The sequence below is a fragment of the Homo sapiens genome, chromosome 16 (assembly GCF_000001405.40).
Source record: "Homo sapiens chromosome 16, GRCh38.p14 Primary Assembly".
Classification (NCBI taxonomy): Eukaryota; Metazoa; Chordata; class Mammalia; order Primates; family Hominidae; genus Homo; species Homo sapiens.
Genome location: NC_000016.10, coordinates 17,572,485 through 17,586,204, shown reverse-complemented (window position 1 = coordinate 17,586,204; position 13,720 = coordinate 17,572,485). Strand labels below are relative to the sequence as shown.

At 40.5% G+C, this 13,720-nt stretch overlaps 1 annotated feature.

The window, feature by feature from the left end:
- Positions 6,843-7,344: an enhancer, noted in NCBI's record as "NANOG hESC enhancer chr16:17672718-17673219 (GRCh37/hg19 assembly coordinates)". NCBI's record gives its function as "activates a minimal SCP1, AML or CMV promoter by ChIP-STARR-seq in naive H9 embryonic stem cells {active_cell/tissue: H9 hESC(naive)}" and the evidence as "EXISTENCE:reporter gene assay evidence [ECO:0000049][PMID:30033119]".

Sequence of the window (13,720 nt, the reverse complement as noted above, 5' to 3'; positions counted from 1 at the left end):
AAGTCACCTTCTCCATCCAGACTTCAAACCAATTGCAGCATCATTTTCTAAGTATTATTCTGTTCTTCACATGACTCATCCTCTCCGCTGCTGCTTGGAAGTAAGTTCCCAAGCTGTCCTCCTTTAATTCTTCTATTTAAGCCTAGGGCCCTTTTATTCCTATTCACCAGCACCCCCCAAATCCTATCACTCATATTCTTAGTCTTCTGATTTCCCATTTTTTCTCAGACTCTGCCTTGGAAAAAAAGTGCTGTCTTGGATGTCTCCTCTCTTTGCATGTCTAGGCAAGTATTCTATAACATTCTTGCAGCATCAGTATGAATACAGACAATGCCTTGTTGTAGGCTCACATTGATGTATGTACATTGATATGGTTTGGCTTTGTGTCCCCACCCAAATCTCATGTTGAATTGTGATTCACAGTGTTGGAGGTGGGGCCTGGTGGGAGGTGATTGTATCATGGGGGTGGTTTCTAATGGCTTAGCATCATCCCTCTAGTGCTGTCTCATGACGGAGTTCTCACGAGATCTGTTGTTTGAAAGTGTGTAGCACTTCCCCTTTCTCTCTCTCTCTTCTGCCGGCCATGTGAATATGTGCCTACTTCCCTTTACTGTCTGCCATGATTATAAGTTTCCTGAGGCCTCCTTAGAACCAGAAGCCTGTACACCTTGCAGAATCATGAGCTAATTAAATATCTTTTCTTTGTAAATTACCCAGTCTCAGGTATGTCTTTATAGCACTGTGAGAATGAACTAATATACACACCAAAGGAAAAAAAGCTCACCCATCTTCTTTGTTATCACAAATAACAATAACGTTAGCTATTCATTGAGTATCCTATAATGTTCTAGGCACTGTACTTCATCATATTCATTTATTATATGCAGACATGAGTACAGGAGAAAATATATTATTACCCCAGTTGAAGAGATGAACCAGTGGAGGCTCAGAAAGGTGGAGTGACTTTCCCAAGGTCACAGAAGCTAATAACTGGCAGAGGAGGAAGTCAAACTCAGTTTTACCCAACCTCAGTGTCCAGGTCTTCCTGCTACATTATACTTCCTTCCCCCAAATACTTTATGAAGCAAGCAGTGTGACATGAATGCCACATTGGGCCTGAACAATGCCCATTAAGTAGAACTCACACCTACCTTGTTCTTACTGCACACTTCGATCCACTCAACAGACTGAAGAATGGAAAGGAAGACACTTATTCCTCTCCAGACAATAAATCATTGGCTTTCTATCTGTCACCAGCTTGGTTTTCCAAAGATTTGTTTTTGTCAGTTTAATGAATTATTGGATCACCTGGAAATTGCTCAGAATTAACGTGTGGCTGACGTTAATGGATCTGCAACACAAGTGTCGAGATCTCTCTAACCAGTCCAATCCATCCTTTTATGAGGAGGCCAGCTACCTGGCACAAGGAGATTCATTTATTTTGAGGCTGCATCTGCCCGTTTCTGCAGCGGTGGTGCACAGGCCCCAGGACAAGTCTGTCCAGAGCAAAAATGGCTGCCTCTACACCAGAGGACCTGGGTGGGCACTGCAAGCTGCCTCAGCCCTGCCTGTGTGGGCAGGTGAGAATCATAATAAATCTTACAATTTGCGACGTTCTCCTTGGTTCTTTTGGAAGCAAGCTTTGAGCTTCTTTTTTAAGATGCATCCTCATGATCCATGAGTCCTCTTAGCTCTAACCCTAAACATATTCTAAATCTAAACAGTTCTCTCTGTCTCTGCTGTTATCAGGCTAGTCAAGCTACTTCCACGTCTTGCCTAAATAACTGCAGTAACCTCCTCCTTATTCTCCATGCTCCCATCCTCACCTTCCAATTATTCAATCTTCATAGAGCAGTTAGAGTGATCATATTAAATATGATAATGACAACCTCCACTTTGCCTAGAATTTCTCAGTGGCTTACCGTTTTACCTGGAATAAAATCCCACAGTCTTCCACATCCTGGCCCCTGCCTCCCTCCCTCGCAGTCTCATCTGGTATTGAGCTCCAGGCTCTCAGTAACATCAATTAAGCAATTAATAGCCTTCTTTCTGTTCCTCCTATATTCCACACTCATTTTTTATTTTGTTTTGCTCATAGCTCTATCCACAGCACATATGACAGAGCATGGCATACAGCAAGTAATTAATATATAGTGATTTATTAATTGGTTATTTTCAAGGTCCTAATAACAATATGGAGAATTGGGAGATGGAAGGATGCTGATTACTGTGAGTGGTTTTTAAACAAAGTCTACCTGTTGGCAATTACATGGTTCCTGTGCTCCCCTACCACCTACTTAAGCTCTGATTTTCAATTTCCAACTTATCTGTCAGTTGACTCTCTAGACCAAGGATTGGCATCCTTCTTTCACTAAGGTCTAGATAGTAAAACACTGTAGGCTTTGAGGCCATTGGATCACTGTTGCAGCTACTCAACACTGCCCTTATAGTGCAAGAGCAGCCAGAGACACTATCTAAAGTTATGGGCCTAATGTGAGCCAGTGAAACTTTATTTACCTGTGGCATGCTGGGTCTGGCACACTAGTTGTAGTTTGCTAAGTCCTGCTTTAGACTATACATTTCTTGAATACCCTAATACATAGTTGGCCACCACTTACTCAGGGCCCGTTGAAGAAGGTCCATTGTGGTAGAAAGAAGAATTTACCCACTGCTATGAAAATCGAGAAAGCCACAGCCTTTCATTTCTGGGACCAGTTTCTGGCATCATGAATACTAGAATCAGGTCTGTATGGCACTGTGGCTTCCCCTACTGACAAACTGTGCAACCTTAGACGTGGTACCAAATCATTCTGTGCAGCAATCTTTTCTTCTACAAAATGGGACTAAATGATCTCTTGGGGTTGTTTTAAAGAGCAAAGAAGGTAACAAAAGTGAACCCAGATGAAATGAGAACCACCCAGCACACACATACAGGCACATGCACATGCATACACACCCTACAAAAACAATTTTGATCATCTGTTTAATTAACAACCGGACTTTTTCCTCTCCTGAGGGTTGTTTACAATCTAGGGGCACCACCATTGAATTGCTCAGGCCAATAGGAAACATTTCTTTGTGATGCTCTTTTGGGTAAGAGGAGAGTGAATAATGAAGCCACTGGCAAAAAGAAAAGATTTGAGGATTAAAAACAAGAAGTTTTAAAGGAGATGTTTATGTTGCGTGGTGTGTGATGTAAAACCTCCCTTCAGTACCATAAGATTGCAGTACAATATCCATTTCTTATTATTACATTGGGGAATTTGTGTGTCTTCAGTGGAGGGTAATCTTCTGAAGAGGTGAATCCTCCTTTATGTTAGGTATGAGCTGAGAACAAAGGCTTCTTTGCCTGGTACAAAGGCTTCTTTTCCTGGAGCTTAGAGGACTCAAGGATGGTAAGGATGCATCCTAACACCTACTAGGTGTTCAGTAAATGATAGTTCCATCCTCATTCTACTTTAATAATTTCATCTTTACAAAAAAAATAAATCTCAGCAATTCAGACTCAGTGCCAAAAATCAGTAAATCCCAGGTACTGGATGTTTACTAAAGGAAGAGAATAATTCAAATGAGGCTTGTCCTGTAGAGATCCCTCAAGGATACACAAAAATGGCTCACAGTTAGCATATTCATTCTTATTATATAAATGGATTCTACTAAAGTGCTGCTTAAAAGCAATTTGGTTATAAGCAGTTTAAGCATTCTCTTTGCAACCTTTTCCCCACTGTGTTCACAGCATCTTTGAGAAAATTTTCCCAAGAGCAGGGGAAACTAGAGATCAGCCCTTGCCTGAATTGTCACAAATTACAAATGAGTAATTGTCCTAGCACTCCTTGGGAGAGAGAAATGAACTTTGAGTTTAAAAACCTGATTTCCAATTGTCATTTTTCCATTTGTTAGCTGTATGATCACGAATAGCTCTGTTCTTCTTTCCTGTTTCAGTATCCTAAATAAATGGAAAAACATCCTGTATTCATGGGCTGGAAGACTTAATAATATTAAGATGTCAATATACCAAAAGAAATGTATAGCTCTTCCTGGCATTGTCTGATAACTGAACTGTGATTCAACTCCTGAATGAAGGTGCTCTAAGAAGTTATTGTCCTCATTGTTACTACTACCCTAATTCTGGACTAAGCAAACACACCCACAAACACATGCATGCACACATATACACATTTATCTTTATTTTTCCTTTTTTTTTGCTAGTGCTTTTGGTATCATGTCTAAGAATCCATTGCCAAATCCAAAATCATAAAGATTTACCTCTGTTTTCTTCCAAGAGTTTTATGATTTTAGCTTTTGAATCTAGGTCACTGATCTATTTTGAGTTCATTCTTCATATGGTGTGAGGTAGGGATCCAAATTCATTTTTGTGCATGTGGAAATTCAGTTGTTCCCTCACCAACTGAGACTATTTTTTCCTCCACTGAATGACTGAACAAACTTAGCACACTTGCCAAAAATCAATTGGAGATATATATATATATATATATAGGAGACATATATATAGGAGATATACATATAGGAGATATATATATAGGAGATATATATATAGGAGATATATATAGGAGATATATATATAGGAGATATATATAGGAGATATATATATAGGAGATATATATATAGGAGATATATATAGGAGAGATATATATATAGGAGATATATATAGGAGAGATATATAGGAGATATATATATAGGAGATATATATAGGAGATATATATATAGGAGATATATATATAGGAGATACATATATATGAGATATATATAAATAATAGAAATATATGTATATATCTGGACTCTCATTTTTATTCCACTTTTCTATATGTTTATCCTTATGTCAGTATCATGCTGTTTTGATTACTACAGATTTGTAGTAAGTTTTGAAACAGGAAAGTGTGAGTTCTTCAACTTTTTTCGTCTTTTTTTAAGATTGTTTTAGTTACTCAGGGTCTCTTGTAATCCCATGTGGATTTGAGGACTAGCTTTTCCATTTCCACAGAAAAAAAGAGGCCATTGCAATTTTAATAGGCATTGCATTCAATCTGTAGATTACTTTCAGTGTATTGACAGTTTAACAATATTGCATCTTCCAATCCATGAACACTGGATGTTCTTCCATTTATTTAAGTCTTCTTTAATTTATTTCTGCAATGTTTTGAGTTTTCAGTGTACAAGTCCTTTACTTCCTTGGATAAATTTGTTGCCAGGCATTTTATTCTTTTAGATGCTGTTGTAAATGAGATTGCTCCCTTAATTTCCTTTTTGGATTGTTCATTACAGGTGTGTAGAAACATAACTGGGTTTTGTATGTTTATCTTGTAACTTGCAACTTTGCTGAATTGTTCATTAGCTCTAATGGCTTTTTTATAGATTCTTTGGGATTTTCTATATATAGGATCATGCCGTCTGTGAACAGAGATAGTTCTACTTCTTACTTTCCAATTTAGATGCCTTTTATTTCTTTTTCTTGTTTAATTACGCTGGATAGAATTTCCAGTGCAGTGTTGAATACCATTGGTGAAAGGAGGCATTCTTGTCTTGTTCCTGATCTTAGGGGGAAAGCTTTTAGTCTTTCACCTTTAGGTGCAATGTCAGCTGTGGGTTTTTTAAAATAAATGTCCTTTATCATGTTGAGGAAGTTCCCTTCTATTCTATCTTTTCTGAGTATTTTTATCCTGAAAGGGTGTTGTATTTCTTCAAATGCCCTTTTTTATATCAATTGAGATGATTATATATTTTTTGTTTATTTTATTAATGTGACATATTAGATTGATTGATTTTCTTATGTTGAACCACCCTTGCATTCCTAGAATAAATCCCACTTGGTTATGACATATCATCCTTTTAATATGCTGTTGGATTCAATTTCCTGGTATTTGTTGATTTAAAACAATATTTTTGATAAAAGTCAAATCCTCCAAAAATCCACTGTAACGATAATAATGGATATTAGCCTTCTCTTTCCTGCCTACATATAATTTGTCTTTATAGTACTATCACTAGACTTTCACTGTGATGATATATTTGCTGCACGGAGGGTAGCTTAGCTAAATAATGAGATTCTGCATCTTTAAATGTGTGTGTGTGTGTGTGTGTGTGTGTGTGGTGCGTGCGCTTTGGAGTCAGAGCTTTGGAGTCTGAGCTTTGGAGTCAGCAAGATCTGCATTCAGCTCCCAGCTCTGTCACACACCATCTGTGGGAACCTGGACAATGTCTTAGCTTTCCTGAGCTCCAGTTTGATCACAGGAATAATTTAATCTCTAGCTCTCAGAGCTGTTAAGAAAAAAAGAGCAGACGAGACACTGTATGTAAAACACTTAGCACACTTCCTAGCATAAAACAGTCTTGATCAAAAGAGCAAATCGCTGAGCTATTGGTATTATTTAGATTTGACAAATTACAAATATGTTTTGTTCATGCGTTTTTTTTCCAGGCAGTTAGTTTTGCTGGGAAGAAACTGCTCAGTTAATACGAGCCTGTGGTGGTGGCTGTGTGGTTGTATCTATCCAGCCAGATGTACTGTGAAAACAGTTTCATCAACTAACCAGATGTGTTCACAGTGAAGACTGAAGGGTTTTTATCCAGATGCTGGTGCAGTTCCTCGGGGCTCAGTGATTTCCTTGCTTTCAACTTTACCAGCCCAGAGAGGGTTTCCTCTTCCTGACCCAGCCTGGCTCCCCCTCCATGGTCTCCCTTCCTGGCTGAAAGGAGTATGCGATTCTGCATTCAGTCACTAGATGGCGTTTGACTGTTTCCAAGAAGGGAGCTTGACTGAGTGGGTGCCCTCAATCAGAGGCTGCTGGAATTTAAGGTCAGGAATTTCAGCCACAGCCTAAAGTCGTGGCCAGATTACAGACCAGTAGGAAGAGAAACTGCTCGTGCTGCTGCTTCGTTTATTTCTCTTCTTTTTCTCAAGAAATGATGCTATGGTGAGGGTAGAGTCACCAAAATTTTTCAAAATACTGATATAGAGTGATTTCAGTATCCATCTATGCGAAAGAAAAAGCTATCTCCTATTCCAGGAATGATGTGGCAACCTTACAAACTAAAGCATGCTCAAACAATCACCATGACAAAAGTTCATCATAGAGGGTGGGACTGCCTGCTGGTTAACAACACCTCTCTGCAGTCAGACTGTCTCCACTGATATCCAGAGGTTTCTACTGGTGACCTACCAGCTGTGTGATCTTGGGCAAGGTGCTTAATCTCTCTGTGCCTCAGTTCCCTTATCTATAAAATGTAAAAATAATAAAACCTAGCTGTGGGCTTTGGGGAAGAATAGATGAGACCATGTACAGAACTCTGAGAATAGCTCCTGGCACATGGTAAGTCTTCAATAAGAGACAGCTATTATTCATTTAGCCAACATTTATGAGAGGTCAGAAGAGTACCCCCTGCCAAGAGTGGTTGTGAGAAGGAAATGAGATAACACAGGCCAAGCGCTTAGAATGTTGCTTGGGACACAGAAAGAGCTCCATCAAGGTGTGCTATCAAAATATTAAGAAGAAAAAGATTACAGGCTGGGCACAGTGGCTCACACCTATAATCCCAACACTTTGGGAGGCTGAGGTGGGCAGATCACTTGAAGTCAGGAGTTTGAGACCATCCTGGCCAACATGGTGAAACCCTGTCTCTAGTAAAAATATAAAAATTAGCCAGGCATAGTGGTGCGTAACTGTAATCCCAGCTATTCGGGAGGCTGAGGCAGGAGAATGGCTTGAACCCAGGAGGTGGAGGTTGCAGTGAGTCAAGATCACACCACTGCACTCCAGCCTGGGCAACAGAGGGAGACTCTGTCTCAAAAAATTAAAAAATTAGGAAGAAAAAGATTTCAGGCTGGGCGTGGTGGCTCACTCCTCTAATCCCAACACTTTGGGAGGCCTAGGTGGGAGGATCACTTGAGCCCAGGAGTTTGAGACCAGCCTGATGAGTCCCCATCTCTATAAAGAAATCATAATCATAATCATACAAATATTAGCTGGATGTGATGGCACACGTCTGTTGTCCCAGCTACTTGGGAGGCTGAGGTAAGAGGACCCCTTGAACCTGGGAGAGAGAGGTTGCTGTGAGCTATGATTGCACCACTGCACTCCAGCTTGGGCAACAGAGCAAGACCCTGTTTCAAAAACAGAAAAGAAAAGTTTACAAAATACTGACATAGAGTATGATTCCATATTTAAATTAAAATATGTGAAGAGATGGAGGAGTGGTATGTGATCTCTTTTTCCTCTTTCTCCTTCACCTCTGCCGCTAATCTGAAGAAGCTTAAATACATACAGTAATGACAGATTCCACCCTGGGGCATTAGAGTGAGCATTTTGCTGGATGAGTGAGAAGGTTCAAGGCCCCCGACAAAAAAAGAGTTTCCTGGTGATGGGATGCCATGCACCTTCACAGCCTGTGCTGGATCATGACCTTTACTAATGACCCAGGTCTCCTGGAGAAGGGGTCTTAACACTTACAGGGTCATGGTGACTTTTGCAGTCTGAGGAAGCCCAAGGACCCCCTTCTTAAAATGATGTTTCTAAATGCATGTGAAATAGACTATATCCGATTTTACAAAAGAAGTCTGTAATCTAACATAAACTATCTGTGGTTACCATAGGTGCAAAGTCATTAATATTGCTGTCAATTTTGCTTATATTCATAATTAACTGAAACGCTGCATTTGAGGTGGAAATTAGTTAAAACTGATATGCACATTTTCCCCATCCAAGTCACACAGCCCTGAATTTTATGCACAGGTCTTCTGGGTCAGGGAGCCCCGGGTAAAGAACCTTGGTAGGACAAAAACATAGTATTCCTACCACCTTAGGCAAGCTGTCTGAGTACTCGAGATTGTGCTGTTTATTTCAGGAACAACAGACGTTCCATTATGCTCCTTAAAATCTAAGTGAATTGATTCAGAACAAATAGCTTATCACCTTTTTTTAATTATGAGATTGAGGAAAACTACAACTGCACCTTATGTTGAGGGAAAAAAATCCATCTAGCTGACATTGGAGGGTATCAACAGCTGACTTTTTTTTCCTAATACAGCTATTCAATATAAAGCAAATTGGTTTAGATGATCAATGGGAAAGAATACTGTTTTAGGGCTTAACGGGAACAATTTCTCCTTCCCTTAAAAAGTTCTCAGTTCACAACTGGATTGATGTGCCTCTTATAAACCAGTTTGAAAGTAGTGTCACATTGCTTTTCATTTAAAAAATAAAATAAAAACCTTTCCTGAAACTTTAGGTCCCATGTGTGTATGTGCGTATGTGTGTGTGTACACATGTATGCATATATGCACATTTTATCCCAGAATTCCAAGACTAAGATAAATCATTCCATACTGGATAGAGAAAGCCTTTTTGAGATTGTTTCCAGCAAGAAACAGCTAGAACAGGGGGAGAATACAACAGGCTAGAGAGAGAAAGAAGGTAAAAAGATACCTTCTCCCTGGCTCCCTTGAAACAAATGTGTTTTCTTATTTATCTTCCTTTGTGAGATCAGTTATGGTAATTTTGTACTATCAGGGGAACTGCCCTTAGAACATTTATCCCAGTTTCAAGGAGTTCAAGGATCAAAAAAATAAAAAGGATTATAGAATGTTCCTCCTTTGATTTTTCCCCACCTATGATCACCTTTTGCTTCTCAAAGCAGAGCCCAGAATATACTTATTTCCCAGCATACCCGCAGCACATGCCCAATGCAAACACTTCTCCTTAAAAGAATCTCTATAATAATCCTTAGCTAACAATTTGATAAAGTAAGGGCATATCAGAACAGCCTGGTCTAAGGTTGAGCTATGATCATTTCAACACAAAACCAAGCCAAGAGTTTGATTGGTCAAAACAGCCAATTCTAAGGAAAGAAAAAGGAAAAGAACTACCTATTAGGGTAAAGAATCCACATCTCATCCCTTAAGCAGAAGCTGTTGGTGCCTTTCAGTGTTATCTTCCAGGACAGTCTAAACAACATGGAAAGCTTCACTGAATTTAGATCAAGAAATTTTGTTTACAGGTGTTTGACTCATATGTGTCTACAGTTGTGTGTGTGTTTACATGTTTATTTCTTACATTGTATGTGTTTGCTTTTGCATATCTGTGTGTTATATTTGGGTATGTGTTAATGTGTTTATATGGTGGATATACCAATTATGCATTGTGGGTTAAATGACAGGCTAGATACTACTTCTTCTACTGGACTCCAGGATTATGCTTTGCGTGATGTTGAACAAATGCCATCAAAGAAAACTCAGTCATTCTTAGTTGACTCAAGGGCCCTTGATGTAGAGAAAGCCCTGGAGAGGGAAAGCTGAACCCGTGAATCTGTGGAACTTCCTGACCACAAAGTTGAGCTAAAAGAGTTGCAAAAACAAAAATGTTCTTTTACTATTCTCCCAAGCAAGACTATCTAATGGGGTTGAATGCAAATTGGAATGATTTAAGATAAAACTGGACACATGTTGTTGGGTGAATGAATACAAAATGGAAGACTATTGGAAACATAGCTATAAAGGCTGATCCATGTCAGGCTGGGCAGGGCCTTGAATGCCAGGTTGATGCAAATGGCCCTGGGGCACCATCTGTGGCTTTGGTCAAGCTGCCACCTAACAGGAGACAGGCATCCCATCCCCAGGGAGCTCCTGGCACCGGCTTCCTTGTAAACGAGTGTGGGCCTATTATAACAGGTACAGGGTGGGGTAGGGGGTCCTTATGGAAATGAAACCGAGTTAACTTTAGCCCCAATTCTCCATAGATTGCCCAACTTAGACTATGCCACACTTTCAGCTTTTCAAATTGCCAAATGCACATTTCTGTTTATTACTTTATCAGTTCATTTAACACATGTTTGTGATGGGCCTGCCATATCCCAGGCTCTGTCCTAGGCACTGGGGATTGAGTACAGAATGGAATAGACCAAAGCTCTGCCTTCATGGAGCATTCATTGTAATTAGAGACAGACAGATAAGGCACAAGATAAACCAGTAACTTATATACTGCATTCAGTAGGAATAAATGCTTAGGCGGGAAGAAAGTAAAGTAGACCAGGGAGCTAGGAAGCCATGGGCAGTTTAAAAATGTAGGGCTGCCAGGGAAGGTAATTTTCGAGGTGAGATCTGAGGATGTGCATGTATCTGCAGGAGGAGAATTTCAAGCAGAGGAAACAGTAAGTTCAGAGACCCTGAGGTGGGAGACTGTCTGCTATGTTCAAGGGATTATGAGGAGGCCAGAGGGGTTGGAATGGAGGGAACGTTGGGGAGGTGAGGTCAGAAAGGTGATGAAGGGGTTGGGTCATGCAGGGTCATGGAGATCACACCCAAGGCATTGGTTCTCTTTCTGAATGCTGTGAAGAGTGCGCTATAGGGGCTCAGAAACAAAGCTTACCTCCTTCAAACCAGCATCTGGACTTGCATCAACAAAATAAAGACACAGTTGCTGGCATGTTTTAGAAGAGATGCTCAGAGCCAATCGTGGGTGGCAATCACACTGACAAGCTGTAGCAGTGAGCTGGGCTCCCTATTTAATTTCCAGACGGCCTGGATTCAGGGCCTCTTAAAAGGCAGAAGCCAGTTGGTTGCAATCTCTCATCACATTAGAGACTCTGAGGTCCACGTTCAATATCTGCAAGCACTTCCTTTCCCCAGAGGATGGATTTAACATCCATTGTCGATGGAATCCACCAGGCACTGAGAACCCAGAGGGAATGACCAAAAACATCCAAAACTTTGTTTTGAGGGAAGCAGTGAGATGCAGGCTCCCCTTCATCCTACCCTGGTCTGGCTTCATTTCAAATACATATGGATTTAAAAGGAAATTGAAACCACATGCAACAGATGAGTAACTGACATTGAACACCTAGAATGGATTTTGCACAATTCGTTGATATATTTCAGTCCCTTAGATCCAATAACTCTTCTTCCTTCCATCCCTTTCCTTTTAATTCTCCTTCTCCTCTCTCTTCTAAGTATTCATTCTATAGGCAAAGAGAGAGAGCATTTTTTGCTTTGTAGCTTTGTTTTGGTTTGGTTTGGTTTTTGAGTTTTTGGCTCACCTGGCAGTTGACCTGCAACAAGGCTGGAGCCTCCCTCTTCTCACTGACACTGCTTGGATTATCCTCCAAATTCATCCCACTGTGGCTTCTCATTCCGGCCATCCTCTCCCTTGCCAGGATGCAGAAATTTCTTGCCATCTTTCACAATTACAGGCTCACGTCTGCTGGAGTCCCTACAAAAGAAAGAATAAGTGGGACCACTGTGTCTCCCTCCAGGAGGAGTTATAATTTGGCACAGAGAATTTTTATCTTTATTCTGCAAATTGCCTTGAAAGAAATGTCAATTAAAGAAAGGCTGTTTGTTAATAAAGCCCCACAGTATGGAGCAGGCTGATTCCAGCCACAACTTGCTTGCCATGCTCAACTGCTATTTGAAGAAAAATACTTCTTGCATCGGAAGTGGGTTTTGTCATGGTGTATAACAAACATCTAGAAACCCAGAATTAATTCAGTTTGGCATTACTTGAAAGAAATCTGGTTTGAGATGATCCAAGAGCAGTTATGGGTTTGGACTAACCAAACCTGGAGGGTTAGATTTGAGGGGAAAGTAAGGTTGTCCTCGCCAATAATATCTTCTTTATCACCCTAATACCATGATAATTTTCTTTGCTCCTTGATCTCAGAGTGCAAATATATTTATATCTTAGTTTTCTTTTCTTTTCTTTTCTTTTTTTTTTTGATACAGTCTTGCTCTGTCACCCAGGCTGGAGTGCAGTGGCATGATCTCAGCCCACTGCAACCTCCACCTTCCAGGTTCAAGCAATTCTCCTGCCGCAGCCTCCCATGTAGCTAGGATTATTGGTATGCCAATAGGCCAGGCTAATTTTTTTGTATTTTTAGTAGAGACAGTTTCACCATGTTGGCCATGCTGGTCTCGAACTCCTGACCTCATGATCTGCCCGCTTCTGCCTCCCAAAGTGCTGGGATTACAGGCATGAGCCACAGCGCCTGGCCTCATGTTTGTTTTCAATTAAACATTTGAACATTCTTACCAGCGAGATGTTGATACACCATTTAGGACCATCCTCAGTGGTCCTCACACTTAAAGGGCTTATGTAGTCTAAAGGGAACCAGGTGTCTTCAACAATGAGCAGAGAGTACTAGAGTTTGATTGCGCTGTCATTGCTATTGCTTCTTGCAGCCACATGACATCGCTGTTGAAGACTGGTTCTGTGCAGTTCCACCACACTCCCCTTTGTAACCTAAATCCCAACAGAAGTTGCACTTCCTTGGGGTCCAGCATACCCAACAGTGTTTTGTCCTTGACCTTGCAAGATTTTAACTCTAGTACTCCTGCAATCAGTCATTGCTCTCTGGAACACGAGTATGGTATTAGGGTATCTGTGCCTGCTAGAGCTTTCTACATCAGCCAAAATATACCCAAAATATCTCTTCTCTGTGAAAGCATAGAATCTATTGTTGAGCTGAGTACTATAATTATCCTAGGTCTAGAACACGGCTAGGACTCCCTTGTTCTTTCTTCTTATTTCAGGCATCTTGTTGCCCTTCCCTGCCTCTTTGGTTTGGTCAGACCCCCTGGTCAAACTGAACACAACTTGTTAACTTTACCAAGTTCTTCTCAGGGAGAAGAAATGGCAGAGATTTGCTTCCTGTTGAATATCAATCCCACAGACTTACACTTAAGTCACAGAAGCATCCTGGGTCCAACGGAAAA